Source organism: Homo sapiens, chromosome 7 (genome assembly GCF_000001405.40).
Source record: "Homo sapiens chromosome 7, GRCh38.p14 Primary Assembly".
Classification (NCBI taxonomy): Eukaryota; Metazoa; Chordata; class Mammalia; order Primates; family Hominidae; genus Homo; species Homo sapiens.
The window spans coordinates 134,019,225-134,046,158 of record NC_000007.14 but is presented as its reverse complement, the minus strand read 5'-3'; the positions used below and the strand labels follow the sequence as shown (position 1 = coordinate 134,046,158).

The window sequence follows — 26,934 nt, the reverse complement described above, 5'->3', positions numbered from 1 at the left end:
GTTATAAGGGTGTATTCTCTTTGTCAAGAGGAATCAAGCTGTGTACTTAAGATCTGTGCAGTTTACTGTGTGTATGCCATACTTCGATATAAACACTTTAGCTTCCTTCTCCCCACCCCTACAGAAAAAGGAAATGAAAAAGAGAGCAGGCTGTAGGCCAGGTGTTGGGATGTGTACCTGAGTATATTTTTAACTGTCTCATACCCTGTTATTAAGACAAGTGCTAATTTTATAAATCTTGAAAATATTATGCTAATTGAAACAAGCTAGCCGCAAAAGACTAAATATTGTGTAATTTCACTTCTATGATCTATCCAGAAGAGGCAAACCCACAGAGACAGAAAGTAGATGTATGGTTGCCAGGGGTAGCGTTTGGGGGAAATGAGGAGTGACTGCTAATGGATATGGGGTTTCCTTTCGGGGTGATGAAAATGTTCCAAAACTAGCTGGTGATGATGGCTGTACAACGCTGTGACTATACTAAGAACCAATGAATTGCATACGTTAAAAGGGTTAATGTTTATGGTATGTAAATTATATCTTGATAAAGCTGTTATAAAAATGCAAATCCTATAAACTGGAACCCTGACTTCTTAACTATACAGAAGACATCTGTCCGCAGCCAATACTGTTGTGAGGATTGATCCATTAATTGAGATGTTTGCTGCAGTTCCATGTTCTCCTGTGATAAGTGCACAGAAGATTCTGTAAGCTGACAGATATGGCAACATCTTCACCAGCTCACATTTTCACTAAGTGCCCCAGAAATGTATTAAAGTCATGTCTCAGGGCTCTACGCTTTTGTAAGTTAACTGACCCCCAGCATCTTTGTACTAAATGCCTTTGAACTTTCTCCATCCCTACATACTGTTCTCAAGAAACATTGATAACAACTAGTAATGAGTAACCCTTACGAGAAATATAGGTTAGAATTGGGAACAACTCTACGTATGATAGAAATATAATTCAGCCAAAGATTCACTAATGATTCTATTAATGTTTATTATTAAGGAGGACCATAATTATATGGAACAATTAGCATTTAACACTTACTATATACCAGGTCCTTTCACATACACCTGATTTAGTCCTCACAACCTGAGGCTCCAAAGGCAAAACACCTGCCTAAGGTCACCTGGCTAGTTAACAATAACACCAGTATTGAATTCTTTTATACTTTCAGGGTTAAAGTTTGACTACATAGCAATACACTATCATACCCTACCTCCCACACATCATTCCAGGAAAACTGCTGAGTTAGGCTGTGAGAAAATAGTTCAAATCAGAAAATGCTTGGGGAGACAAAAATGTTGACTCATCAAGAGACTCACTGAAATCATATTTGTGAAAGCCCTATGTCGATTGTAAAGTGCTATGTGAATATAAGTGTCTGGCAAGAACATATTAACAGCATTGGATCGGGGGAGCTGGAAACTGAGGTGCAGATGACTGCTCCAAGTGTGCACATTGTGCTAACGTGTGCTACATTAAAGCGAAGGAGGAGATGCCTTGCATTGTCTGCTCTTTCACAGAGTGGACCTTCAGATCTTTATGCGTGGTAATGGATGACTGCTCAGTTGAGTTGACGCTGTTCTAGACAGCAAGGTGGTGACCAGGATGGCCTGTGATCTCAGCAGATACAGATGTCAAAGAAAATACATGCTGATTCCTAGTAGAAAAAGTAGACACTGTTCAAACAGCAGCAAAAATAGCCTGGAAACCTGAACCTAGTTTTTTACAAATCCTGCAGAAGACGGTGGTAGGCAGGACGCAGCAGAGGTTCCATTTCCCTCACACTTGCTACCTTCAGAATTAGTCTCCTAATTTCTAGTGCTTTCAAAAATCTCATGACCTTCCACATGTGCTTCACCTGTTTCAGTGGGGATGTCAGTGAGCGGGATGTGGCCTTATTGATTACTTCCCTGTGGCTCAGAGGAAGGGCTGCTCTCATGACCTGGATATTGGTGGAGAAAACAAAATGGGAGGAAGGTGGTGACAAGGACTCTTTTGAGCAAACTCTACACAGGCTCCTTTGAGCTCTTCTCCACTAGGCTTCACCCAGTGGCAAGGTGGATTAGTTGAGATTATCCATGAGTCAGAAATAGAGTTAGGGTTCAACCCACTCTGCCTGGACTCCAAACTGCTGATCCAGTTCCTAGACCATGCTCCATCACCGATCAGGCCAGGGCTACAAACCAAGGTTATTTTAAAGGCCCCACTTCCAATTAGCACAACTGTGTTGGAGCTGTAGAGGCTGTGTTGGGGAATGAGGGAAAAGATGAGGAAGAATCAAGTAAGCCTCAGCCTGTCCTTCTCTACACAGAGACTGCCCTGGCCAATCTCCTGCCTCCTCTCTTTACACTTCCTTCTCAACAACTACCCTACATTCACAGCTGCATGAGAGAACAAACTTGCCACCTCCAAACCTCCCCCGAAACCATTGCACTCCTCAATGTGCCCCTAATAGTTTACACCCAAGAAATGTCAGAGTCTACGGTGATGCTGGGAGGTGTCACACATTCCTAGGGACCAGGAAGAAACTGCTATCCCTGGAGGACCCTGAATGCACCAAACCAGGTGGCTGTGGGTGTCCCTCCCTTTCCAGATTTATACTTCTGTTGAGAATCTGTTTTACTGACAAACATTTCTAATGTTTTCAAAGAGAAATATTTCAAATGTGGTGGTGAAGCAAACATTGGTTTGTGACCCAAATGTTTCTGCAAATGTTTTCTCAGGCTGGGGGGTGTAAATGTTTACAAACCATTTGAGCAGGAAAACAGCAGTGATGTGTTTCAGTAATAGTTGCTTGGGGGAAAAAATCCCACCCCTACCAAATGCAGCCAGGGTGTCATTAAGAAAATAATTATCTGCTCCTTTATGTGCTGTGTGACAGCACAGACATAACATGACATCTCTGAGGCATCTATTCCAGTCCTTGCCCCAGCACTAGCTAACTAGTGATTACGATCATGCCACACAATCCCACTGTACCTCAGTTTCCATATCTGGAAAAAAAAATGGAGTAGACTAGAATATATGACATTTAAAAACCATCCGAACCCATGAGGGAGACTGCAGTGGGGGAAGGGGCAGCATTATATTGATTGATTGACTGATTGAGACGGAGTCTTAATCTGTCACCCAGGCTGGAGTGTAGTGGCACAATCTCGGCTAACTGCAACCTCCACCTCCCGGGCTCAAGCAATTCTCCTGCCTCAGCCCCCGGCACCAGTAGCTGAGATTACAGGCATGCGCCACCACGGCCAGCTAATTTTTGCATGTTTACTACACACGGGGTTTTGCCATGTTGGCCAGGCTGGTCTCGAACTCCTGACCTCAGGTGATCCACCACCTCAGTCTCCCAAAGTGCTGGGATTATAGGCATGAGCCACCGTGCCTGGCCAGGGCAGCATTACTGATATTATTTCCATTTTCCAGGAAACAAGATTTAGGTGTGGAAAAGATGAGGTCCAGGTCACACAGCTAATCAGCAGCAGGGCTCTGACTTAAATCTGCATCTCCTGAGCCCAAAGCCTGTAACCTTTCTATTACACCACACAGGCTCTTGACAATTTATCCGGTTCCCTGGCTTCCTCAGGCCTCTGTCGTAATCGACAGTGTGCCCAGTCGTAGATGGCCCATATTTGTCATGTGTCCTTTCACTTTCCTTTTTTTTTTTTTCCTAGCATGCTCTGTGTCACTCAATCTGCAATGAAGAAAAAGTGCTTTTGACAAGAGCATTGAGCACACTGGCAAATGTGGTTGATAAAGCTTTATTTCCAGGCATATTCAATTGAAAGTAATAAAGGCTTTATTGTATTAAAAAGCTTTATTGTGCTTTGTAATGAAGACACAAAGCACTTAGTTGAAATAATAGTCTTTTAAACTAATATGCTTTATACTCTATAGCAGAGATGCAGATACAAGGGAATCCAAAAGTGATTTCTGCAAAATGATTACTTAAAGTCGCTGTATCTTTTGAGTGGAAGCCTCAGTTTTTCCCAGGTATCCTCCTGGGCTAGGGTTTCTTTCTTTTCCCTTTTCCTAAGACATTTGTGGCAGGCGCTCGCTGAGCTTTCTCAATGTTTATTCTGCTTGGGAGGACTAGATAGACTTCCCCACAAATGCTGCTACATATTATATGATCGCAATCAGGGTACACAAACCCTGTACTACCTACCTGCACATATGCCCAGCAGAATGTAACACAGCTGGCTCAGTGGGAGAAGATGGAAATGAGGATTTTTAAAGCCTTTAAATAAAGATTGTAACTGTTGTTGGACTGCACAAAGATAGAGAGTAATTAAAAAGCTCTTCAAAGAATGGAATAAGCCCTTTAAATCCAGTTAAATAATTTTTCAGAAACACTGCAAGAAGCATTCTTGCTGTTTCCTTCTCTCACAATGAACTGAAGGAAGAATATCTCATTTTCCAAATGGAACTTTATGGAGTTTTCAATAAGCCCCCTCAGCACTTATCTAAATCTTTAATTAGTTCTATAATATACTGATGATATCAAGCCTAATTAAATTTATATAGATAAGGTGCAATGAAATTCTAACCAAGTGATCTGGAAAGCATATATTAAATAGTAAATTTAATGGTTCAAGCTGATAACCACAATTTTATATAAAAAATTAAATTCAATTTACATGTTGTATTCAAATTGATTTTGAGTGTGCAAATTATTGGAAAAATCTCTTAAATATATCAGTAAAATTGCTAATCTGGACTGTTTAAATATCAGTTATTAATGTCTACATTTGCAAATAAGCCACACACATTTGCATTTTTACTGCATATAGTAAAAAATTATCTAAACCTTATGCCATTTTTATTAAGAATATGAAGTAATTTTTCTTTTGGCTTCATGCATAAATTAAGGAGGTAAAGAAATGACTACTGGGTCTAAAGAAGAGAGAGTCAGCAATTCAATATCTACCAAGGCAAAGATGATATATATATTTTGCTGACTAAAGCAGTTTATGTTACGCTTTGGGAACAGCAGTTACAATGGTAAAAGTCTCCCTTATTTAGGATCAACTCAAACAGAACCATCTATAAACATCTGATGCCATAATCATGGGGAGAGGAGGCTATATGCAAATTTGGTGGGTTTTACCATCAGTTTGGGGAGGGGAAGGAAAATGCATGGTTCGGCTTTATTAGAGGGTAGAGGTACACACCAGCTGATCATGTGTCACAGTTCAGCCAAGGATTAGGCTTGGGAAGCTATATTAAATATTCATCTGATTAGTTAAAGAGAAGGCCCGACCACCTATACCACATATGTTGACCAATACTAGTACCATTGATGATAGTACCACAGGTGATTGACTATCCTTTAGAAGGATCATCCTGAAACATGCTTTGCTTACATATTTTTCTTTGCTGACATGCAATATTACAAATATTGTTAATTGAGCTTTAGTTACCTCAGAATTAGCTACATATTGCTAAAAATTTGTGCACTGATTACTTTGCCATTATCACTACCTGCTTTCCCCAAGACATGCCTTTATTGCTCTTCAATTCCATTGGTTGGAAAACTATCTTTGAAATGATCAAATATTTATTAAATATCTGTTTTACGCCATGTGCTTCATTATGGAGGTTTCAAGTAACATGGCAATGACTTCGGAAGACTGAAAAATGAGGGTCAACTGGAGCAGTCAATTATTCCAGAGGAGGGGTGGGAGTGCGATGTGTTTTGAAGGCTGGGAGTTGAAGAATGAATCAGAACAGCCAGAATAAAGGCATGGAGGTTGCACCGTGAGTCACATGTAAAGAAGACTGTCAAATCAGTGGGAACATAAGTTTAAATAATGAGAGAAGATGCTGGCCAATTAAGAAAGAACAGTTATCAGGCAAGTTTTTCTTTAACTCTGACAAATTTGGGCCAAATAGTGTATTTATAAAAAAGTCACTCTAAGGATTGGGCAAAAAATTCAGAGAAGCAGTATCTTGGGATGATTAGTCTATCTACATCACAAAGGATGGCTGAAGGGAAGAGACCAAGAGACATGAACATCAGCTGTGGGACTGTCGCTTTATTCCAGATTTGGAGGAAGAAAGAGTCAACAAGTCTATGTGTTTAACAGGATATGAAGGGCTGACAGGACAGATGGGTGAGCCATAGAGAGGTGTTGGCAATTTGTGTAATGTGAAATCTAAGGTTAAGGGATGGAATATGGAACTAAGATTCAGATTTGGCAGATCTTGAGGCTACTTTCACAGAGAACCAAAATCCAAGTTAATGAAGCTGTTAGTCTGTTACTAATATCTGAAAACTTGGAAGTAGAGTTGCTAGGACCAGATACAGATGAGGAAAAAGAATCAGGAGTGAACAACCATCCAAGACTTCCCTCCTGAATGAGAATGCTATCAAAGTTAGAAATGGGGACCTGCTGTATGAGAGAAGATGATGAGCTTTGCATGTAAACTCTTCAGTATAGTGAAAACCTGGGTATCCTGAGACTGTATTCCCATGGTTGCTCATTGTACTGGGGCAGCAAGGAAAAGCAATATGACCAGCTGGGGGTAGAGGTCAGCTCTGAATGGAGGACTATGATGGAGGGCAGTGGTGAAGGAGACAACACTAGCAGACCTGGAAATATGATTTTATTTCAGCATTAGTATGTGTGATTGCCTGTTCTGATCCCTAATGTTTTGTTCAGAATTCTAAGAACAAGAAAGTAAATACAGCCAGCCAAAGAGAATGGATTTAGAATCTCACAGCACCTTTTCAAAATTTGGTAAAATCATGGACTATCTTGCCAGAAAAAATTCACATCTATATAAACACAGATTTTGCATATAATTTTGGGGGTTTATGGACTCCCTGAAGCTTTATCATGCACTCCAAGGTTTATTATGCACTCCCTGAAGCTTTATCATGCACTCCAAGTTAGGAGTACATGGTTTATACTCCTATACTCCTTACGTAGGTGTATACCATACCTACGTGAGTACATATACATTTATCTATTATCTATATCTATTGATCATTATGGCCTCATATAGCAATCTTTCACCCATTTCTATTTCTGATTAAGCAAGATGTCAACTCAGACCATACACAGAAGCAGGAGAGGGGAACAAAGTAAAGGTGAGTGGACCTTTCCATGTTCCCCCAAGGAAAATGAAGGCAGAAACCTCAGGATCTCCAGAAGTGGGAACACAGGTTATGGGATTTACCATGTAGACACACATGGGTATCTCTTTACATGTGCATTTGGAGTGCTTTGAGACTGCTAGGTAAGCAAACTTCCATTCATCTTGATTCTCAGCATCCTGACCTAGACCTAGTCAAGACCTAGGAAGAGCTTGTTTCCAACTGATAGCTCAGGGATGCTCCAAGAGCCCCTAGTTACTGCCAATGGTAAGTGACACAGACTGGGAGCAGCCTGTGGTGTGGCTGCTCTGCTTGGTCTAGGCCTCAAGCACTCTCTGGGAAGATGAGGGCATGGGGCCGTGGAGGATAGCGAAGGAACATAAGGTAAATAAACAGGAGAAGTAAAATAAAAATGAGAATGAGTTAGAGGGTGGAGACTGGGAAAGAGATGAGGAATCAGAAGGAAGCAATAGAGAATAAAATTAGTGTGTTAGAAGTGATTTCTCAAAAAAGACTAATTGACCCACATAATGAAGCTCAGCAGTCTAAGGCAATTAAAGGATATATAAAAGAAACGAGAGTCCAACAATCCCTGAATATCTGACTACATGGAGTGGTTCCCGAAGAACATAAATGTTAAGTATAGGTGCCTAGAGTATCAATACAGCACTTGGGAAAATATTTTTATTCTGTAATGCCTAATATATCCAGGAATTCATAAAGACTGAAACCTTTTTATGTGTTCACTGGATCTCCACAGGAGAAGTTGGGCTGCATGTTAAAATCCTCAATTTGCCGTGTGAAAGTTCAGCAATGCCAATCCGCCTGATGCAGATGCCTCTCAGTTGAATGAGTTCAGACAGTTCCCATCTGCCAGATATGCTAATCCTTATACAATCGATACTGCGACTCCTTAGCCCATGCTTCTCAGACTAGCCTCAGGAAATGTGATGTCTGTTCTACTGAGTGGTCCATAGTAGGTATAGGGGGCCTAGATTGCACTGGGTCTTGACCTTTTAAAGGTAAACAGTGGAAGATAAGTTATCTATGTTTGCACCTTGTTATTCACAGTTCTAGGCATTTTGAAAAAACTCCCCGGGATCAGAATCAGAGAACACCTGAGTTGGTGAGTAGCAAGATGCTGAGGATCGCTATCTTATAATTGGAATACTAGAAAGAAAAAAGGTCCTTTTTATCAAGAACTCCTGGGACATCACTGGGAAATAAGAACTTGTAAAAACTCATAGGAAGTCTTCAGTTTCATTGTGGCATTCTGTTTCATGAACTGTTTGAACCTAGAGCAATTGCTCGAAGGGGATTCAGAAGGAACTGGAAAGATGACACTTCTACTCAAGGACTCTCCCTGAGGAGGGATGCGGATAATCCCCTTCTAAATTGTGCCTAAAATGTTCACGTTCATGTTTATAAAGCCACGGGTACCAAAGCTACAGGAACATTGCTCCGGTCTCATGGCCTGGGTAGGGTGTGAAGAATGGAAAGCCTAACACAGGGCCCCTCTCCACCAATGTATGCCGAAACGAATTCAGATAATACATCTGAACTTCTCTGAGCCTCCCACAAGGGAAAAATGCTAGAGAAATTCAATTATTATTGAATTATAATCATATAACATATTTCACCCATCATCTCATGCTTTTTGATCATCTGATTTCTTTTTATAATCAAAGTGTTTCAGTGAAGAAATAAAGTCACCCTGGTCTCCTTCTGTGAGGAAACCATTCCACTGAAATCCCCTTCAATGGAGCTCTGTAGGATCCGGATCTGGGCAACGTGGGAGCAGCTTGCAGTCTTTGATTGAGAAAACTTCGTCAAAACCACTGATATCTTGTACCTTCGGTCTTTATCCTTGCTGCCTTTCATCTCTCCTCTTGTTACTATATTGCTGTTTAAAATGAGAATTAAATTCCTCTGCCTTGCCCCCTAATTTGACTCACTTTTCAATAACATGAAGCTACTATCAAAAATATAAAAACTGGGAAACTAAGTGCTAGAATCCTCTTACACATTACAATAGGAAGAATAAGAATGAATAAATAATCACTAATCTCCCCCTTCTATTTGTACTGGGCATTTTACTTGCAGTTTCATTTTATCTACAACCACCCTAAAGTGTAAAGAAATCATCTCTATTTTATAGGTAAGGTAACCGAAGTATTAAAAGGTTAAAAACTACTGGGGGCTAAGCAGCTACTAGTAAAATGTGGGATTCAAGCTCTAGTTTGCATTCTGTTTCCACCTCACCAAGCAAAACAAGGAAACTTTGAGAAGTGACACAGAAACCTTCTGTCTCTACAGAATATCTACATATGTAAATGTAAAATCTATAGATTTGCAGAGATGAAGAAACTTCTAGAATCTATGAATTATATAAAGCTGTTTAATCCAAGAAAAAATTCATTCAGCAGTTCTGAGAATTCTCTCTCTTTTTTTTCTTTTGAGACAGGGTCCTGCTATCTCTCCCAGGCTAGAGTTCAGTGGCATGAACATGGCTCACTGCAGCCTCAACCTCCCAGGCTCAAGGGATCCTCCCACCTCAGCCTCCTGAGTAGCTGGGACAACAGGCATGCACCACCACACCCAGATAATTTTTGTATTTTTGATAGAGATGGGGTTTCCTCATATTTGCTGGGCTGGTCTTGAACTCCTGAGCTCAAATGATCCATCCATCTTGGCCTCCCAAAGTGCTGGGATTACAGGCTTGAGCCATTGCACCCGGGCAGCTCTGAGGATTTTGGTATGATACATAAGCTGGAGAGAAGGATGCTCTCTTTCTATATCTCAAGGGAAAATTACTGATCAAGGAAACTAGAAAGTCACCGTGGCCTTTTTTTCTGAATTACGTTTGTCATTAAACTCATACAGGGGCAGCACAGACAACTTGTCTGTAATAGGTCTACTGGTATGAACACTTATCAATTAAGGGAAAGGTGAGATTAACAGTTGTCACGTTTAAGTCTTAGGTTCATGCTGAGATACAAATTGCTATTTCCAGGGACTTCCACCAAATCAAATCTGCTGAAGAGTGGCCGTAAGAAAGCAGCTCTCCATTTCCGTTGCCAGTTACTAGTTTAGGGGGAATGTGTGATCAAGTTCTGGCCAACAGGACATGGGAGGAAGTCAGCTGAGGAACTGCTAGGAAATGTTTCCCTGCTGATGAAGATAAAGCCCAGAAGGAAACACTCTTCTTCCAATGTGTCTCTGTGATGCCTGGAAACTCAGCAGGCAACCCTGTACCACAGGAGTAGCTTCAGAGGATGAAGCCAACACACCTTAAGGAAGGAAGAGCAGAGAGATGGCAAGAACGTGGGTTCTTCATGACATCAATGGGCTACTGAATTAGCCCACCCACAAGCCACCCTACCTTGGGACTTCATATTAGATGAGAGAAAACTTGAAAAAAAAAGTTTAAAGTCACTTAAGTCAGTGTTTTCTGTTACACGCAGTTAAAAGTATCCTAAAAGATAAATCTCCTGATGTGGAAGACAAAGATATGGCTCATCTGTAATACTGCTCTCCTTCTTCTAGTATTTTATGGTTATATTTTAGCATTTTTGTGTGAAAATGCTGTTCTTTGTAATTTAAATTAACTACCTAAACCACTATTTTTACTTCAACAAATCTCCTGCCTACTCCCACTTTTACGATGACACTATTAATGACCCTTTTAAGAAAACTTTTTGGCCAGGCGCAGTGGCTCACGCCTGTAATCCCAGCACTTTGGGAGGCTGAGACAGGTGGATCACCTGAGGTCAGGAGTTCAAGACCAGCCTGACCAACAGACAGAAACCCTGTCTCTACTAAAAATACAAAATTAGCCAGGCATGGTGGCGCATGCCTGTAATCCCAGCTACTCCAGAGGCTGAGGCAGGAGAATGGCTTGAACCCAGGAGGTGGAGGCTGCAGTGAGCCCAGATCATGCCACTGCACTCCAGCCTGGCCAACAGAGTGAGACTCTGTCTCAAAAAAAAAAAAAAAAAGTAAAGAAAAGAAAAAAGAAAAAAAACCTTTTTATCTCCTTCTTTACCCCAAACCATATTTCTGTCTCTCACCTTCTATTTTCTCTCAGCTACATTCTTACTTTTGCTGGGTGAAGATAAACATTTACATACTATCCTGCAAACACAATGGAGTCTTTCATGCTTTGTTTGCATGATGATTCACGAAAAACAATAAAAAGCATTTACGCCATCACATATACACAAATAGTGCTTGGCCAGTGATGCTAAGGATTATATTTCCTTCTCTATCAGTCACTTACAACCTGTATTAGTCCGTTTTCATACTGCTATAAGGAACTGTCCAAGGCTGAATAATTTATAAAGGAAACAGGTTTCACTGACTCACAGTTCAACATGTCTGGGGAGGCCTCAGGAAACTTACAATCATGGCAGAAAGTGAAGGGTAAGCAAGGCACCCTGTTCACAAAGCTGCAGGAAGGAGAAGTGCTGATCGAAGGGGGAAGAGCTCCTTATAAAACCATCAGATTTCATGAGAACTCACTATCACGAGAAAAACATGGGGGAAACTGCCCCCGTGATTCAATTACCTCCACCTGGTCTCTCCCTTGACATGTACAGATTATGGGGATTACAATTCAAGATGAGATTTGGGTGGGGACACAAAGCCTAACTATATCACAGCCTTGAGGCCTCTCAAAGAGGGTGCTTCTAGAAGTTCACTTTGCATGCAGGCCACACATTTCCTGTATAGTTGCTTTTTTTCCTAAAAATTTCCAATTGCCTTTCCTTTCTCTTGTACTACTTGAGTTTTTCACATCTTAGGTTCTTTTTCAACCTCTCCATCATACTACCTATTTTCTTGAGTCTTTTCCCACCCAGAGAACTTTCTCCAGAACAGCTGTATCTCATTATCCCAATTTGGACTGGTTCCTCTCTAAGCCTGCTTCATGGTTACCTTTTCACTGTTCTGAGCTGGATCAAGTCTCTTTTAGACACGACGTTTTCTGATTTTTGTGGTTTATTTACTCGCTTTGCTTAAATGCATTCTCAAAAAGTTCCCTAGAAAGAAGAGCATGAAAAGTCAACTTTCCAAGTCTTTATAAATCTGAAGATGCCCTTATTGCACCCTCAAAATTGGCCGATACACTGTTTGGATGTCTAATTCTAGGTTGAAATCATTCTACCTTGGAGCTGAGAAAGAATGCTTCATTATTTCTTAGCACTTAGTGCTATTGATCATAAGTCTGATACCAGCTGACTTTTTTTTATGCCCCTCTCTCTGGAGCTTTTATAAGTTTACTTTTGGCATTCTGAAAATTCATGAGGCTGTGTTTTAGGTGAGGCTATTTCTTCATTCACTGAACTGGGCACCCAACAGGCTCTTAATATGAAGACTTGGGCCCTTCCTGAGTTCTAGAAAAGCATTTTTACTAGTTCTTCAGTAATTTCCCCTCCCCTTCATTCTCTGTTCTCTTTTCCTCGGACTCCAATTGGATCTTGGGCCTCTAAGTATAGGCAAGATCATGTTTCTAAAAAGGTTCTTAGAGGGAGGGAGTTCCTGGGAGTGTTATGTGGGGTGGTGCAGAAGGTGCTAACAGGTGGGTTTCTCTTTAGGATGAGCAGGTGGGATGCCAACTGTCAGGCTGGGACCTCTCCCTCCAGTGCTAAAATGAATGTTTTATTCTGGTCCTCTGACATCCACACCAGAAGTCTTGACTTTCCCTAAATATTTCCTAGGATGGCTCTTTCAAGAACAACTTCTGGATACCAACATTTTGGAGGGGTGAAGAAAATAGTCCTGTAGGATATATATTTTTATGTCTAGAAAATTTTCATTAGTCTCTATTTTCGGTTTCTCTTGGCACTCTGACATTTTTTTTTTGAACTGCTGATTATGAACATGGAACTTCTCCAAGGTCCTCGTTGCACATTCCAGACTGAGGGTTTCCTTTTCCCCAACTACTTTATCCATTAACAATGTTCCATCTTCTTCCTATCATCCAGAAAGTTGCTGTCATTTATTTATTGGTAAATCCTCCTATTCTTTCTCAGTTGTGGATTTATTCCTTTTTGTTTCTCTGTGAAAGTACAGTAATGAGTCTGCCATCTTATACCCTACACATTACCTAAACCTTACAAGCTTTGTTAAAAATATTATAGCTAATTGAGGACATTTAAAAATAACTTTCAATGCATGGCATTAATCTTTGCCCAGTGGTCAGGAAGGGGCAGAATATTGCTTATTTGTTACCTATGCAGGCACATGGTGAGGAGGAAGCTGTTGGTGCTGTCCACTCTCCTAAACAGAATAATTTTCTAATTGCTTTCATCTCCAGTAACCAGTACAGAAGAGACATGCTGGGGCTCTAATGTGCTGACCCCTAAAAGTACAGAATTTTTTGAGTCCCCAGGTCCAGTCTGAGAGGCCCAGCTGCTTCTGCAGGCAGAAAGGTGGCCACCGCACTCCCTTCACCAGTGAGGCCCCCCAGCTCAGGACTGAGCTAGTTCCTGTTGGCTTCACTGCTGTGAGGGTGATAATGAATGGTGGCAGTAAGAGGTGTCAGATGGCTCTGAGCCTGGCAGGGGAAATAGCTCCTGCACCTTGATGTGGTGTGGAGAGGTGCCAATCAGTCCCATTAGCAGCAGGAAGATGGTGGCAGGGGCAACAGTTTGTGTGTGATGGTGATGACAGCAGCAACAGTAAGAACAGGCTTGCAGCTGTTCAGACATGAGAGAAGCAGCCACTGGACAGTGACATCAGCGACAACTGCAGGAGAAACTGTTGACAGACTTAGGGCAATACACACTGAATGCTTTAGTGTAATATATTGAAAATCACTTTCAATATGGAGGATGTTGCTTTCTAGGTAATGTAGTTATAAGAAAAAACTTCAGTATGCGTTAAGATGCCTATGACAAGAGGCCTCTTTCTCATATCAAGGTCAAGGAACTTATAAAAAGCCTTTGTCAACATCTCTGAATCACTGATTGCTAATTTCAGCTTTCAAGAAATTAATTTGTTTCTAGAAAGGCTAGTATTTCCAGAAGGGCTGTACTCTTTGTTGTCATCAGGTGGCAACAAAGAGTCATGATTTACAATCTCAGATGCTTGGGGTTAATAGGGAGATCAGACATTTAGTATTTTAAACCAGGACTTTACAAACTCACTGCTTATTAAAATAACCACAACTGAGAGAGATTCAGCAACAAATGAAAACTTACAAAAAAAACTTTGTTGCAAACAAAATAATTCTGTATGCTTCTTTAGCTCTTCTTAACTTCATGGGTTTATAATGGAGTCTTAGATTCACTTGCATAGAAGTTTCCTTCTCTTCTTTGGATGCATCCATTCTAACTTTGGAATTGCTATTTCTTCAGTAGCTTATGGCAGCATAGTTCCTTTTCTAGCATAAGCAAGTCTTCTTCCAGCTGGATGGAGGTGTCAGATTCTGAACTAGTAATACTTGTCTCTACCCTCCCAAGTGTAATCTACTCCTCCTCTACCTGGAAGCTCCTTAGTCCTAGTTAGCTCCACAATCAACTCTTAATAACAACAGTGATGATAGTAATGACACTAAAATCACCAAGACTACCAAAACCATTTCCTTACTTCCAGGCAGGGTTATAAACCTTGCGTCTGTCTTTCCATAACCCATAAAAATGTTTCCCCTTTTAGAGAAACAGAGAGAACAAAAACAAAACAAAACCAAAAACTCTCTGCTATTCCCTACCACTGCTCTCAGTTTTTGCTCTTATTTTCTTCTTCAAAAAACAGCTTTATTGAGATATAATTCACATACCATACAAATCACCAATTTAAAGTGTAAAATTCAATGGCTTTTAATCTATTTACAGATATATACAACCAGGACCATAATGAATTTCAGAACATTTCTTCACCTCAAAAAGAAACCCTGTATCCTTTAGCTGTTATCCCCTTCCCCGCTATTCTCCATCAAGCCCTAAAGTGAACACTAATCTACTTCTGTCTCTATAGATTGCCCTATTCTGGTCCTTCATATGAATGAAATTGTAAAGTGTGTGGTTTCTTTTGACTGGCTTCTCTCATTTAGCACAATGTTTTTGAGGTTTACCCGTGTTGTATGTTGTAGGAGATCAGTCAGGGTGGTGGCAAAAGTTATAAAAGTTATAGGGAAAGATGCAAAACTTCTTGGAAGGCCAGGAGGTTTTGCAAAAGCTTCAAAAGAAAATTTGGCTGAAGGCAGCCAAATTCTCTTATTGGGAGCCTGACAGCAAAGGGTCGATAACAAAGGACTGTAAAGAGACTTATCTAGATAAATTTGTTTACTCTCTCCAGAAACCAACCTTTGATCAGTCGTGTGCAGGACTGCTCTCTACTCGGGGCGGGGGGGTGAGCTGGGGGGGCAGAGGGGGGGTGCGGGTCAACAAGGTTTATTACCCACAAAGTGTATTTGCTCCAAGCCTTTGTCATTAAATCTGTACGAAATAAATGCAAGTGTCTCCACCTTATGGGGGCTGCTGTGGCTGCACTGCACTCTCATCAGCGGTGCTAAGCTGTGGGGTCCTCTAGCCGCATTGTTAGGCAAAATACCTGTGCCAGTGAACTTCTTCCATCTGTCGCTTGGCCAGAGTCTGCAGGACAGACTTGGCAGCATGTAGCACGTATCAGTACTTCAAGTCCACTATGGCCACATAATATTCTGCTGCATGGATATACCACATTTTGTTTATCCACTCATCATTGATGGACATATGAGTTGTTTCTACCTTTTGGCTATTATGAATACTACCTACTGCTATAAACATTTGTATGTAAGTCTCTGTGTGGACACATGCTTTTCATTTCTCTTGGGTATATACCTAGGAGGGCATCTTACGAGGTTTTAACCTCCTTTCTTACCTTAATGCTTTCCCTCTCTTAATTCTTATCACAAAGTTCTGCTCCCATTACTGAGGTCTACTGTGCTATACTGTGTAAAAATAGGAATCATATTTTTATCTTTGTAGCTCCAGGAATGACTAGCTCTCACATTTATTCAATAAATATTTGATGTATGAATGGAATGACTGACCCCTTGCCAATCTGTTATAACCTCAAGCAAGTGACTTCTTTAGGAAACGTTCCAGATATTGAAACAGTTTAAATCATATGCTTGTACATGGCTATTCTCATTTTAGAAAGCAGTGGAGAGAAGCTCCCAATAGTGGATGGTTCCAAAGATATGTAAGAGCCTAAGAAAAGGCTACTTTAAAAGGGCCACCAGCCAGGCATGGTGGCTCATGCCTGTAATCCCAACCCTTTGGGAGGCTGACACTGGAGGACTGCTTGAGAATAGGAGTTTAAGACCAGCCTAGGCAACATGGTGAGACCCTGTCTCTTCAAAAATTTTAAAAAATTAGCTGAGAGTGATTGTGTCTGCCTGTGGTCCCAGGTACTCAGGAGGCTGAAGTGGGAGGATCACTTGAGCCCAGGAGGTGGAGGCTGCAGTGAGCCGTGATCACACCACTGCACTCCAGCCTGGGTGACAGAGTAAAACCTTGTCATTCATGAAGCAATAAATAAAATAAAAGCAATCAATCAATCAATCAATCAATAGACCACCAAAAAGAAACCCTATATCCTTTAGTGCTCATCCCCTTCCCCGCTATTCTCCATCCAGCCCTAAAGTGAACACTAATCTACTTCTGTTTCTATAGATTTCCCTATTCTGGACCTTCATATGAATGAAATTATAAAGTGCGTGGTTTCTTTTGACTGGCTTCTTTCATTTAGCACAATGTTTTTGAGGTTTACCCATGTTGTATGTTGTAGGAGATCAGTCAGGGTGGTGGCAAAAGTTATAAAAGTTATAGGGAAAGACGCAAAACTTCTTGGAACTCCCACAGTGAGGAGGAGGCATAATGTAAACAGACAATGAAGACATTAGAATGTTTTGGATACTGAGGGTACGTCATCCCTCTGCATAAGAAGGATAACCCACTGGGTGAACATCTTGGCCTCGACAGGGTCAGCTTCCTTTATCACACTAAGAGAAAACCACCTGGGTGGGTGTCTTATCATCACAATGGCTGGTTCCTCCTGACTCCTCAGAAAGACCCCTGAAGGGGCCACCTGAGGATCCTTTCACATCTCTTTGCTAGATCTGCCAGTATAGCTGAGAATGCTCTTTCAAGGCAGCCAGTAGGTGTCTAGATTAGACCACATTCCTCTCAGCGAAAAAGTGAGAAAAAGAAGATTACGTGTAAGTGGCCCCAACACTAAATCTCTGCTTTCCTCCAAATTGGTCAGAGGTATAGAGATTCTCTCTTATCACTCCACACTTTAAGGGCACATGATGACCCTAAACTCCTGGGGCTCAGTAGAAGAACCTGTGCACACAAAGGAGAAATCTTCATTGGAGGCAGAAGACTAGTTGGCACTTAACAAGTTAGGTGAAGACACTCATCTTCCAAGCATTGGCAATGGCACCATGCCCATTGCTAGCGACAGAGAAGTCCAGCCACCCTCCACACTGCGGCTACCTAGTAACTCCATGCCTTCTTCCAAAGACTTCACTTTACGCATCTCAGCAGCAGGAACAGTTTCCCACATGTTATTCTCACATAATTGCGGTTCTTATATTTTGTTTCGACTTATAGTTTAGTAGAATTTTGATAGTAATTGTGTTATAATTTCTACTTTAATTTCCTTACGAAAAAATAACCAAGTTGATGTGGGCAGAGCAGGTCTTCATAGCTAAGAGAGAACATGACAATTTCAATATCAAAGGCTAATAAAACTAATAATCTTTCTGCATTTACTTAGCAACAAGGACTTGAGTATGTGAACAGAAGTCATAATTATCATCACATAGTAATTTTTGTTTGTAAAGATGTGTCCACAGCAATGTTACTCTAGTATTAGAGAAGGTGGATATTATGGTTAATGGGGTTAACATGATACTCTTAGGATTGTATCAGAAACACACCACAAAATGACCCTCCTCCTCCAGAGGATTCTAGTAATCATCTTCCTGGGTTGCCTATCGTTGCCCTAGGGCATCACTCTTCCCAGGGAGAATGTGAATAAGGCTGAGAGCTCCTGACATGAGTCTGTAAGGGGTGTTGAGAGCTCCAGGAGGGAGCCCAGAAAAACGAGTTCAGAAATCTGGGTTCTAGCCCTATCTGGATCATTTGTGGCCAGTTACTCCATCTCTCAGAGCAAGTCTCCAGCCTGATAAACGAAGGGGCTAGAAGATACCATCTCTAAGGTCCTACTCAATTAAGACTTTCTGAGCTTCTGACAGTACGATCTAGTGATCTGAGCCAACCAGGACTCTATTCTTACCAAATTCAAATCCCGTCTCTGAGCTCTGCTTCTTTCTCCTTCACTAACCCCATGAGAACTACAAAGTCAGCTCAGCCAATTCCTTTTTTTTTTTTTTTTGAGATGGAGTCTCTCTCTGTCGCCAGGCTGGAGTGCAGTGGCGTGATCTCGGCTCACTGCGACCTCCACCTCCTGGGTTCAAGCGATTCTCGTGCCTCAGCCTCCTGAGTAGCTGGGATTCCAGGCATGCACCACCACACCTAGCTAATTTTTGTATTTTCAGTAGAGACAGGGTTCCACCATGTTGGCCAGGATGGTCTTGATCTCCTGACCTTGCGATCTGCCCGCCTCGGCCTCCCAAAGTGCTGGGGTTACAGGCATGAGCCACGGTGCCCAGCCAGCCAATTCAGTTTTTGCTGCTTTTTTCCTCATATTCTCAGTCCTTCTTTCACTGTCTTTCTCAGACAGAAGTGCGGATGGGGTAGTTGGGAATATTTCGCTTCTGTTTCCTCCACAGTTCATGAGAGTAGAACCAAATTAATTTACATTTATGGAAACCTTCAGATTCACAGGAGGACTATAAATACAGATTACTGTTATTTCTGGTAATTTCAGCATCTACTGTTAAAGTGACAAAGGACAACAAAAATGAATATACTATATATTTTTAAAGGAGTTTTCTTTTCCTTGATAGCAATCACCTTGATAGTTTTATTTTTGTGTGAATCCCCCCCCTTAATCACTAAAACACCCATTTGTCATATACAGGTTAAAAAAAATCTTTTTGGAACCAACTAAATCTGTAACTATATAGTTCAACATACTGTAACAACCAAACTCTTGATTTTCTTACATGTATAGTTTCAGAGGATCAGAAACATCCTAAAATTATACTCTGTAACCTTCTCTTTTATTAACACCATTTGTTTTTTAAGAAAGCAACGTTGCTCTGCCTATAAAATCCTCCTTCCTTCTAAATCTTACCTTTTTCAAAGTACAGTTCAAAAACTGCTTCTACAACATTTTCTCTAACGATTTCAACCCACTTTGAATAATGTTCCAGCAGCACTTCTACCTCTTTCCATAAAAATATCTTTCCATAACAGCATTGTTTTTAAATGTCTATCTTCTTTGACACCTAATAAACTCAGTATGGTAGTGTCTGCACCACTCATTTATAAGCTACATTTTATTCATTCAGCAAACTGCTATTGGGCTTAGGGATTATCTCGTTTTTGTTTATCTAGTATCTATCCCTCTTCTTTGGTAACCAAACCTTCCTTTTCTCTAGAAAATGTTCTTCTAGATCCAGATTACACTGAGCAACTTTTCACCACAGGTGCAGGTGGGTGATTTGAAATTGTCAAATCAGAATGCTGCATTCCTCTGGGCCACAGGAATTGGCTCAGAAATAGACAGAGCCCATCAAGAGTCCTTCCGTGGATTCTGGAAGAGAGATTTCCCTTTCCCTAAGATTTCCAGCTATGAGTATAAGTCTGGGCTACTACTTTGCCATCGTGGGGAGACAGGCTATGTAGTTATAAAGACAAGCAGATGCAAATAGAAGCAGGAGTTGGAGGAAGAAAAGAAGCGATCTTGCTGATACGGTCTGAATCCTTGGTTAAAGCAAGCCTAAAGCCAACCAGCCCTTGAAAGTCTTAGCTTCATGATTCAAGAAATTTCCTTTATTGGCTTAAATCATTTGAATTAAGTTTCTGCTCCTTGCACTGAAAGCATTCTGACAAATAGATGGAATGTCTACTGTATGAGGCACTGCGTTGGGTGCACATAACTGGAGGCTGAAGTTTAAGTATAGTGGTGACTAAATTCCAAAGATAACTCCTAATGAAACATGCCTCCCGTCATTCATGCCTCTATTTAGTCCTCTCCTACATTAAATCTGGGCTAGCCCTGTGACTTGCTTTAAGAAAGTGACAGAAGTGATACTATGCTCGTCCTGGGTCTAGGCCTTAAAAAGGCTTGATAGCTTCTACTTTCATGCTTTTGGGAGCCCCAAGTAACCATGTAAGAGGTATGCCTACCCTGATGAAGAAATCACATGGAAAATCTACATGGAGAGGGGGAATCTCTGAGACTACACAGAAACAGAGAGAGGAACTGAGCCATGCCCATCTCCCAGCTGAGTCCAGGCTTCCAGTTGTCCCCACCAAATCACCAGACAGATGAGGCAAGCCATTCCGGATGCTCCAGCCCTAGCTGCCATCCCACTGCAGCCACAGGAGAGAACCCAAGGCAGTCCAGAGAAGAACCTTACAGCTGGGCCCCAGTCAATCTGCTCAACTAAGAGAACTCATATAATGGTTGTTGTTTTAGGTACTGCGCTTTGGGATGATTTATGGGAAACAAATGTGTAGATCCAATAACTAACTTTTCCCAGATCTGGGTAGCCTTGCTTCAGGGCATGCAATCCAGTCAATTTTGCTTTTTCTTTAAAAAATAAAAACTCTTGATAGACAGTTAAGTTTGTTATATAATTGACCAAGATAAGTGATACAATGTGGGTTGAAACTTCAATAGTAATAATAATAATGTAAGACTCCAAACTTCACTGTGGACTGCCAGAATTAAAAGCTAAGATTAACAATTATTACTAGATTTTACATAAATATATGTATGTAACAATCAGGGTTCAAAGTTGCAGAGAAGGAATTATTGAAAGGGTACTGGGCAACTCCAAGATGAGCCAGGAAGGCTGGAGAATGAGACTTGGAAAGGGAGCAGAAATAAACAAAGCTAGACAGCAGCTGGGATTGTGGCCAAAATCTCTCCAGAATCACTCTTCAAAGATAGTTTTGTGAAGATACCACCACAGCTGCTGCTAAACACAGAACACCAGGTCTTGCTCTGCTGCCAGCAGAAGTGGATGTTGGCCATACCACTGCCACTACTACTGCCGCCACCTTAGGTAACCAGAAGTTACCACTGCTGCTGAGGGAGCCTTCTGTGGTGCTCTGTCACCCTTGTGCTTGGAGTCCTTAGCTCCCCGATCAGAGTTCAGAGTGCATGCATCTGATGGGCGAAGCTGAGGTTGTCCCCCACACAGTAAGCAAGCTTGGGCTTTTGTGTGTTTATGATGGAAGATGCACTTTGTTTCACTCCAAGACCAGGTTGTGGGGAATTCCTTAAACATAGATTTTAGAGGAGGGGTAGCCAAAAATGGACAAGTGTCAATAATATATCACTACTTTTTCTTTTAAAATGACTGGATTTTCTATTGAAATAACAAAAGACAGAGCTTCTTGATTTCTCCTCCTTTGTGAATATTTTAAATTAATTAAAAACATACTAGCTTCTTTTTTTTTTTTGAGATGGAGTCTCACTCTGTAACCCAGGCTAGAGTGCAGTGGCGCGATCTCGGCTCACTGGAAGCTCCACCTCCCGGGTTCACACCATTCTCCTGCCTCAGCCTCCTGAGTAGCTGAGACTACAGGCGCCTGCCACCACACCCAGCTAATTTTTTGTATTTTTTAGTAGAGACGGGGTTTCACCGCGTTAGCCAGGATGGTCTCGATCTCCTGACTTCGTGATCCGCCTGCCTCGGCCTCCCAAAGTGCTGGGATTACAGGCAAGAGCCACCGTATCTGGCCACTAACTTTTTAAGAGCTATTTTAAGACACTTTCATCAGTCACTGTGGTACCACCCTAGGTAGGAGCTCTACTGATACTGTGGGAATTGAGGTTTGTACTTGGTGGACTCATTCTCCCTGTAAGGTGTGGTCCAGCCTTCCTCCTGGATTTGGGCACCCCTAACACTGCTGCCATGCCAGGTCTCTCTGAGGTCTTACACCACTTCATGCCTGTGTTGGGCCCATCAATGACTGTGGTCATTCCTAGACAGGCCTTAGGGACTGTGCTAAAATCCTCCTTCATCATCTTCTTGGGTCTTCTTTTGTTTTACCCTGCAGGTCGACTATACAACATCTCCTTTCAGTTCCTCTCTGGGAAGATAAAACACTGCCATCCCTCCTTTAAGTTCTTTTGACTAGGAATACTGTGCAATACAGTCAATAAGAACATTGAGGCTGTGGTACATTTTCTTGAAATACTAATGTATTACATTGTCATAAGCTGTATAGCGCAATGGCTAAACTGCAGATAGACCTGACTTTGAATCATGGTCTTGTCATTTACCACAGTGTAGAACCCGGGTTACTTAATCCTTCAGAGTTTGAGTTTTCCCATTTGCAAAATGAAAAAGTTAATTCGTAAACATACTAGGTTAGTATAAGGATTAAATAAGACAATGTGTGTAAATCACATAAGTTATACAAAATAAATACTCAATTCATAGTAGTTATTAATATTAAAAATAATAAAGTAATATAAAATTATTTTAAGCAGTTTGTCATTACTACCTAGTCTTATGGAAGAAATGAAATGCTATGACAATTATAGAGCTATAAATACTCTACGATGCAGTATGAAAAGAACATGAGGGGTATTTTTAATCAGATATTCTTGCTTATTCTCAGATATATCATATTGAGTTACTGATTTTTCAAAGACAGAATACAGCAAAATATATATAATGCTAACTATACTAATTGTAGTAGTATTCTTCTTTGGTAATGGATGGGATATTCTAGACTCGGGCAAACATCATGAATCCCAATTATCACTGCAATGTAAAAGCACAGAGTCCTAGTTTAGCACAATTTTCCATACAGAGGAATTACTGATAACCAGTTCTTACTGTTCTTATATTTGGTTCTAAATATAAATAATAGTTCAAAGAAAGAGGTTAACATCGAATGGGGAAAACATTGTTTTAAGAGGGGCAGCTTGGTATGGGAAATTAAGCAAACCTTTGAAATGCAGACTAAGGATACTTCACTGATCAGGAATGAACAAGAGAGATTAGACAAAATAGAGAAACAAGATTAACATGAATTATTTGAGTTGAAAATACATGTGAACAATTCCTATTTTGAGGAGTGAGCTAGCCTTAGTGCAGACAGAAGGAAATTGATGTGTGATAATATGCCATGCTGGCCAGTATACAGGCCTCACTATTCTGTCTGGGCAAGGCTCCCTGTTAAAACAGCTGCCAAAAGGAAATTTCTCTCTCTTTGTCCAGGTGAGTCAACATAGAGGTTGGTATTATCCAGGCAGATCTTTACAGATCTTACTGGAAGGCAAGAACCCCAGGCAAGGAGCTGCAGCTTTTAATAGAAAAAAACAGATTTTTTTTTTTAATTTGAAAAAGGGGAAAGAGCTATTACAGACTCTTTGGCTTGAGGGCCCATAATGTAAACAAGTGCTATTGGTGGAAGGAGCCTTAAAATGCCTGAAAGCCAATTCTTCCCCTCTGTACAACAGACAGTAAATATTTAAGACCCATTAGAAAACTGGCAAATAGCTGATAGCCAATAGCTACGAAACTTAACTAAAGCAATCAGCTTCCTCACACACATGTGCTTCCCTTGTTCAAATGCTGGTTATGTGTCATTATCATTTCAATACCTATATCCCTGGAGAACTATGCACCAAGAAATGAAAAAAGCAAAACTTCTGAAAACTGAAAAATACAAATTCTCATATGTTGTATAATTAAAGTTAACAAAAGAAACAGACTGCCACACACATAGAACAGAGAAAAGCTGAAGCTTCAAATGACTGATTTACCACAGCAAGTAATTACTTTATGTTTTTCACAAACATTTGAAACCTATTATTACTTTCACAGCAGCACACATCAACAGAAGACTGTCACCTAAGGGAGAAATGGGGAACTGGGCTGTAATTAATTTCTGGTCAAATATATCATGAAGCCTTTAATGTTGTCAATAAAAGGCTCTAGCCACTAAAAATCCCCAACCTCTCCCTCCCTCCCTCTGTCCCCAATACCCCAAATGTTTAATCAGTGTCTCTGCGAAACAGACTGCCTGAAGGAGAATGAGATGCAGTGTTAATGCCTGCTGAAAAGTTGAGGCAATTGATCCATTCCTTCCCCTGACCGTGTGTGTCAAGAGAAAGAAGTCAATCAAGAGCTGGCCTCTCCTACTCCACTTTTTTTTTTTTTTTTTTTTTTTTCTGGTTTGACTCCATCTGCAACTGAGAAAAACAGAAGGTGCACAATTCTTTGGAAGAATTTAAACATGTAGATTCCAGGCAATGGAAATCATCACACGGCAACTGAAGCCTATATTGTTAAAGGTTAGAACACGGAGATTAAGAATGCCTCCAGGAAAAAGAGAAATGGCTGATCTGAATAAAACCTTTCCATCAATTGGAAAACTACAGCACAGCAATGGAGATGAAGAGCTAAAGCAGATGTGACATTTATGTTTTTGAGTACCTACACGTTTACATTTTGAATTACTGTTCAGAGCCTTATAAGACCTTTATAGGTCATGCAAAAGCAGTAGCCAGCGTCTAGATCTGTTTTACTCTCCTGTACGTGTGGTGAGCAAATGCTTTAAGCACGATCTTGACTATGAAAAGAAACAGGCCTACAGTACTTCCTTCCTCATTAATTCATCCATACACACAGGCATTAGTTTGTCCAATCAACAAATATTAAAATGCCTGTTATATACTGCATATCTCAGACATGTTTACAGTATCTTTATGGAATTGGATGGGAGCTAATTTGTTTCCTCTTAGATAGCTTTCCTGTGATAGTCTCTTTTGAGAGCTAGGAGTTGAGGCAGGGCTCTAGATCTCTCAAACCGCTCTCTGGCTTTATGTCATGGAACTCTAGGCAAGTCCAATCTGCAAGAGACCCTATAGTTGATCCTCTAATCAAACCCTTCATATTTTTTTTTTTTTTGAGACAGTCTTGCTCTGTCGCCCAGGCTGGAGTGCAGTGGTGCAATCTCGGCTCACTGCAAGCTCTGCCTCCTGGGTTCACGCCATTCTCCTGCTTCAGCCTCCCAAGTAGCTGGGACTACAGGCACCTGCCACCGTGCCTGGCTAATTTTTGTAGTTTTAGAAGAGACGGGGTTTTACCATGTTGGCCAGGCTGGTCTCAGACTCCTGACCTCAAGTGATCCACCTGCCTCAGCCTCCCAAAGTGCTGCCATTTCAGGCACAAACCCTTCATTTTATAGATGAGGAAACTTCAGCCAAGAGAGCTGAAGTGACTTACTCAAATTCATGCAACAATTAAAGGTTGATTTATTAGCCAACTACTAGGTGAATGAAATGCTATTTAGTTTACTCCCAAATTTCCAAGAATACAACCCGACTCTGCCTCAATGTCTACACATGTTAACTGAGAGTAATAATGGTGACCACCTTGTGTGTCATTTTAATAATTTAAAATAATCTAGAAAAGTGCTTTCAAGTTATTTTTACTTTTGCTGCCTGCAGTAGGAGATAAGAGTAAAGGGGACTAAAGGAGAAACATGAGGTTGAAAGACGATGGCCTGGATATTGCATGAATCTCAAAGAAAACGAGGTCAGGGCCGGTATTTCTGCATGATAATCTCCTGAGCACTTGTTAAGCCGCAGATGCCCAAGCCCTACCCTCAGCCTTCTAAATCAGAACTTTTAGGGATGGAGTCAAAGAGTTTCCACTTAAAACAATTTCCCTGCAAGAGACCCTGTAGCTGATAGGGAAATTCTTATACCTTCTAGTCTTTGGGAAGCACTTGGTTTAGCTGCTTATTGTCTTAAAAGCACAGGTGTATGCATTTGGATTAATGATGGTGCTGCTCAGTGCTGTTGATGACGTGCTAATTTGTGGTGAGATTCTGAGAGAGTGGTCTCGGGTCTAAGTGTTGCTCCCCAAGGACAGTTGTTTGGAAGGCCAGCAGAAGACCCACAAGCAGCATGAACACCTGACAGCTGAGCAAAACCAACCCCATAACACCACCAAGGTAGGAAGAGTCTGCAGACCCCTCTGCCGTCAAACTGCCCATTAAAGCTGATTAAAACAGTTAGCAATCAGAGCTCAGTGGAAATCAAGGGGGAAAGACACCCAACCAGAGAAAATAAAGGAAAAAAGAAATGTTTGATAGCTAAGAGAATAACTGAAAAATAAAATCATATTTTAATATAAGCAAAAGAGAGACCCAACATTGACCAAAATGGTAGCCTTACTTCACGTAGTTAAGAGCATACATAGACTTTGGGGTTGGATTGACCTAAGTTTGAATCTGGCCTCTCTTCTTATGTAAACTAGGAATTTACTTAACTTCGTTAAGCTTTAGTTTTCTCATCTTTTTGCAGCAATAGCTAAATATAGAGTTTCAGGGACATTCAGTGAACCAATGTAGGTAAAGCATTTACTAACGTTCATGTCATGTGCTGAGATCATTATATAACAGTAATTATAATTACTCATATTATACTTGGAATATGTCATCATCATCATCATCATCATCATCATCATCACTGAGAGAAAGTCACCAATATAGGCCTCTAGGATGGTTTGTAAAAAAAAATCACATGTCTTGCAGGAGCTTTCCTTGTTTTAGAGAAAGTAGTTTAAAGTTAAAGGTCTGTAAAGCTAGGTACAAAAACTATTTCTTGGTAACCTATTTGTATTTAGCTACAGATGCTCTCTAAAACATACATCGTGGCTG

At 40.9% G+C, this 26,934-nt stretch overlaps 1 protein-coding gene across 10 annotated transcripts in view, besides 1 other annotated feature; it reads right to left on the bottom strand.

The window, feature by feature from the left end:
* EXOC4 (exocyst complex component 4) overlaps nt 1–26,934 on the bottom strand; it is an 847,874-nt gene that overhangs the window by 54,793 nt on the left and 766,147 nt on the right. The gene's annotated exons all lie outside the window — the stretch shown is intronic.
* Nucleotides 11,757–11,957: a silencer, noted in NCBI's record as "peak6744 fragment used in MPRA reporter construct". NCBI's record gives its function as "represses an SCP1 promoter by STARR-seq MPRAs in K562 erythroleukemia cells {active_cell/tissue: K562}" and the evidence as "EXISTENCE:reporter gene assay evidence [ECO:0000049][PMID:32103011]".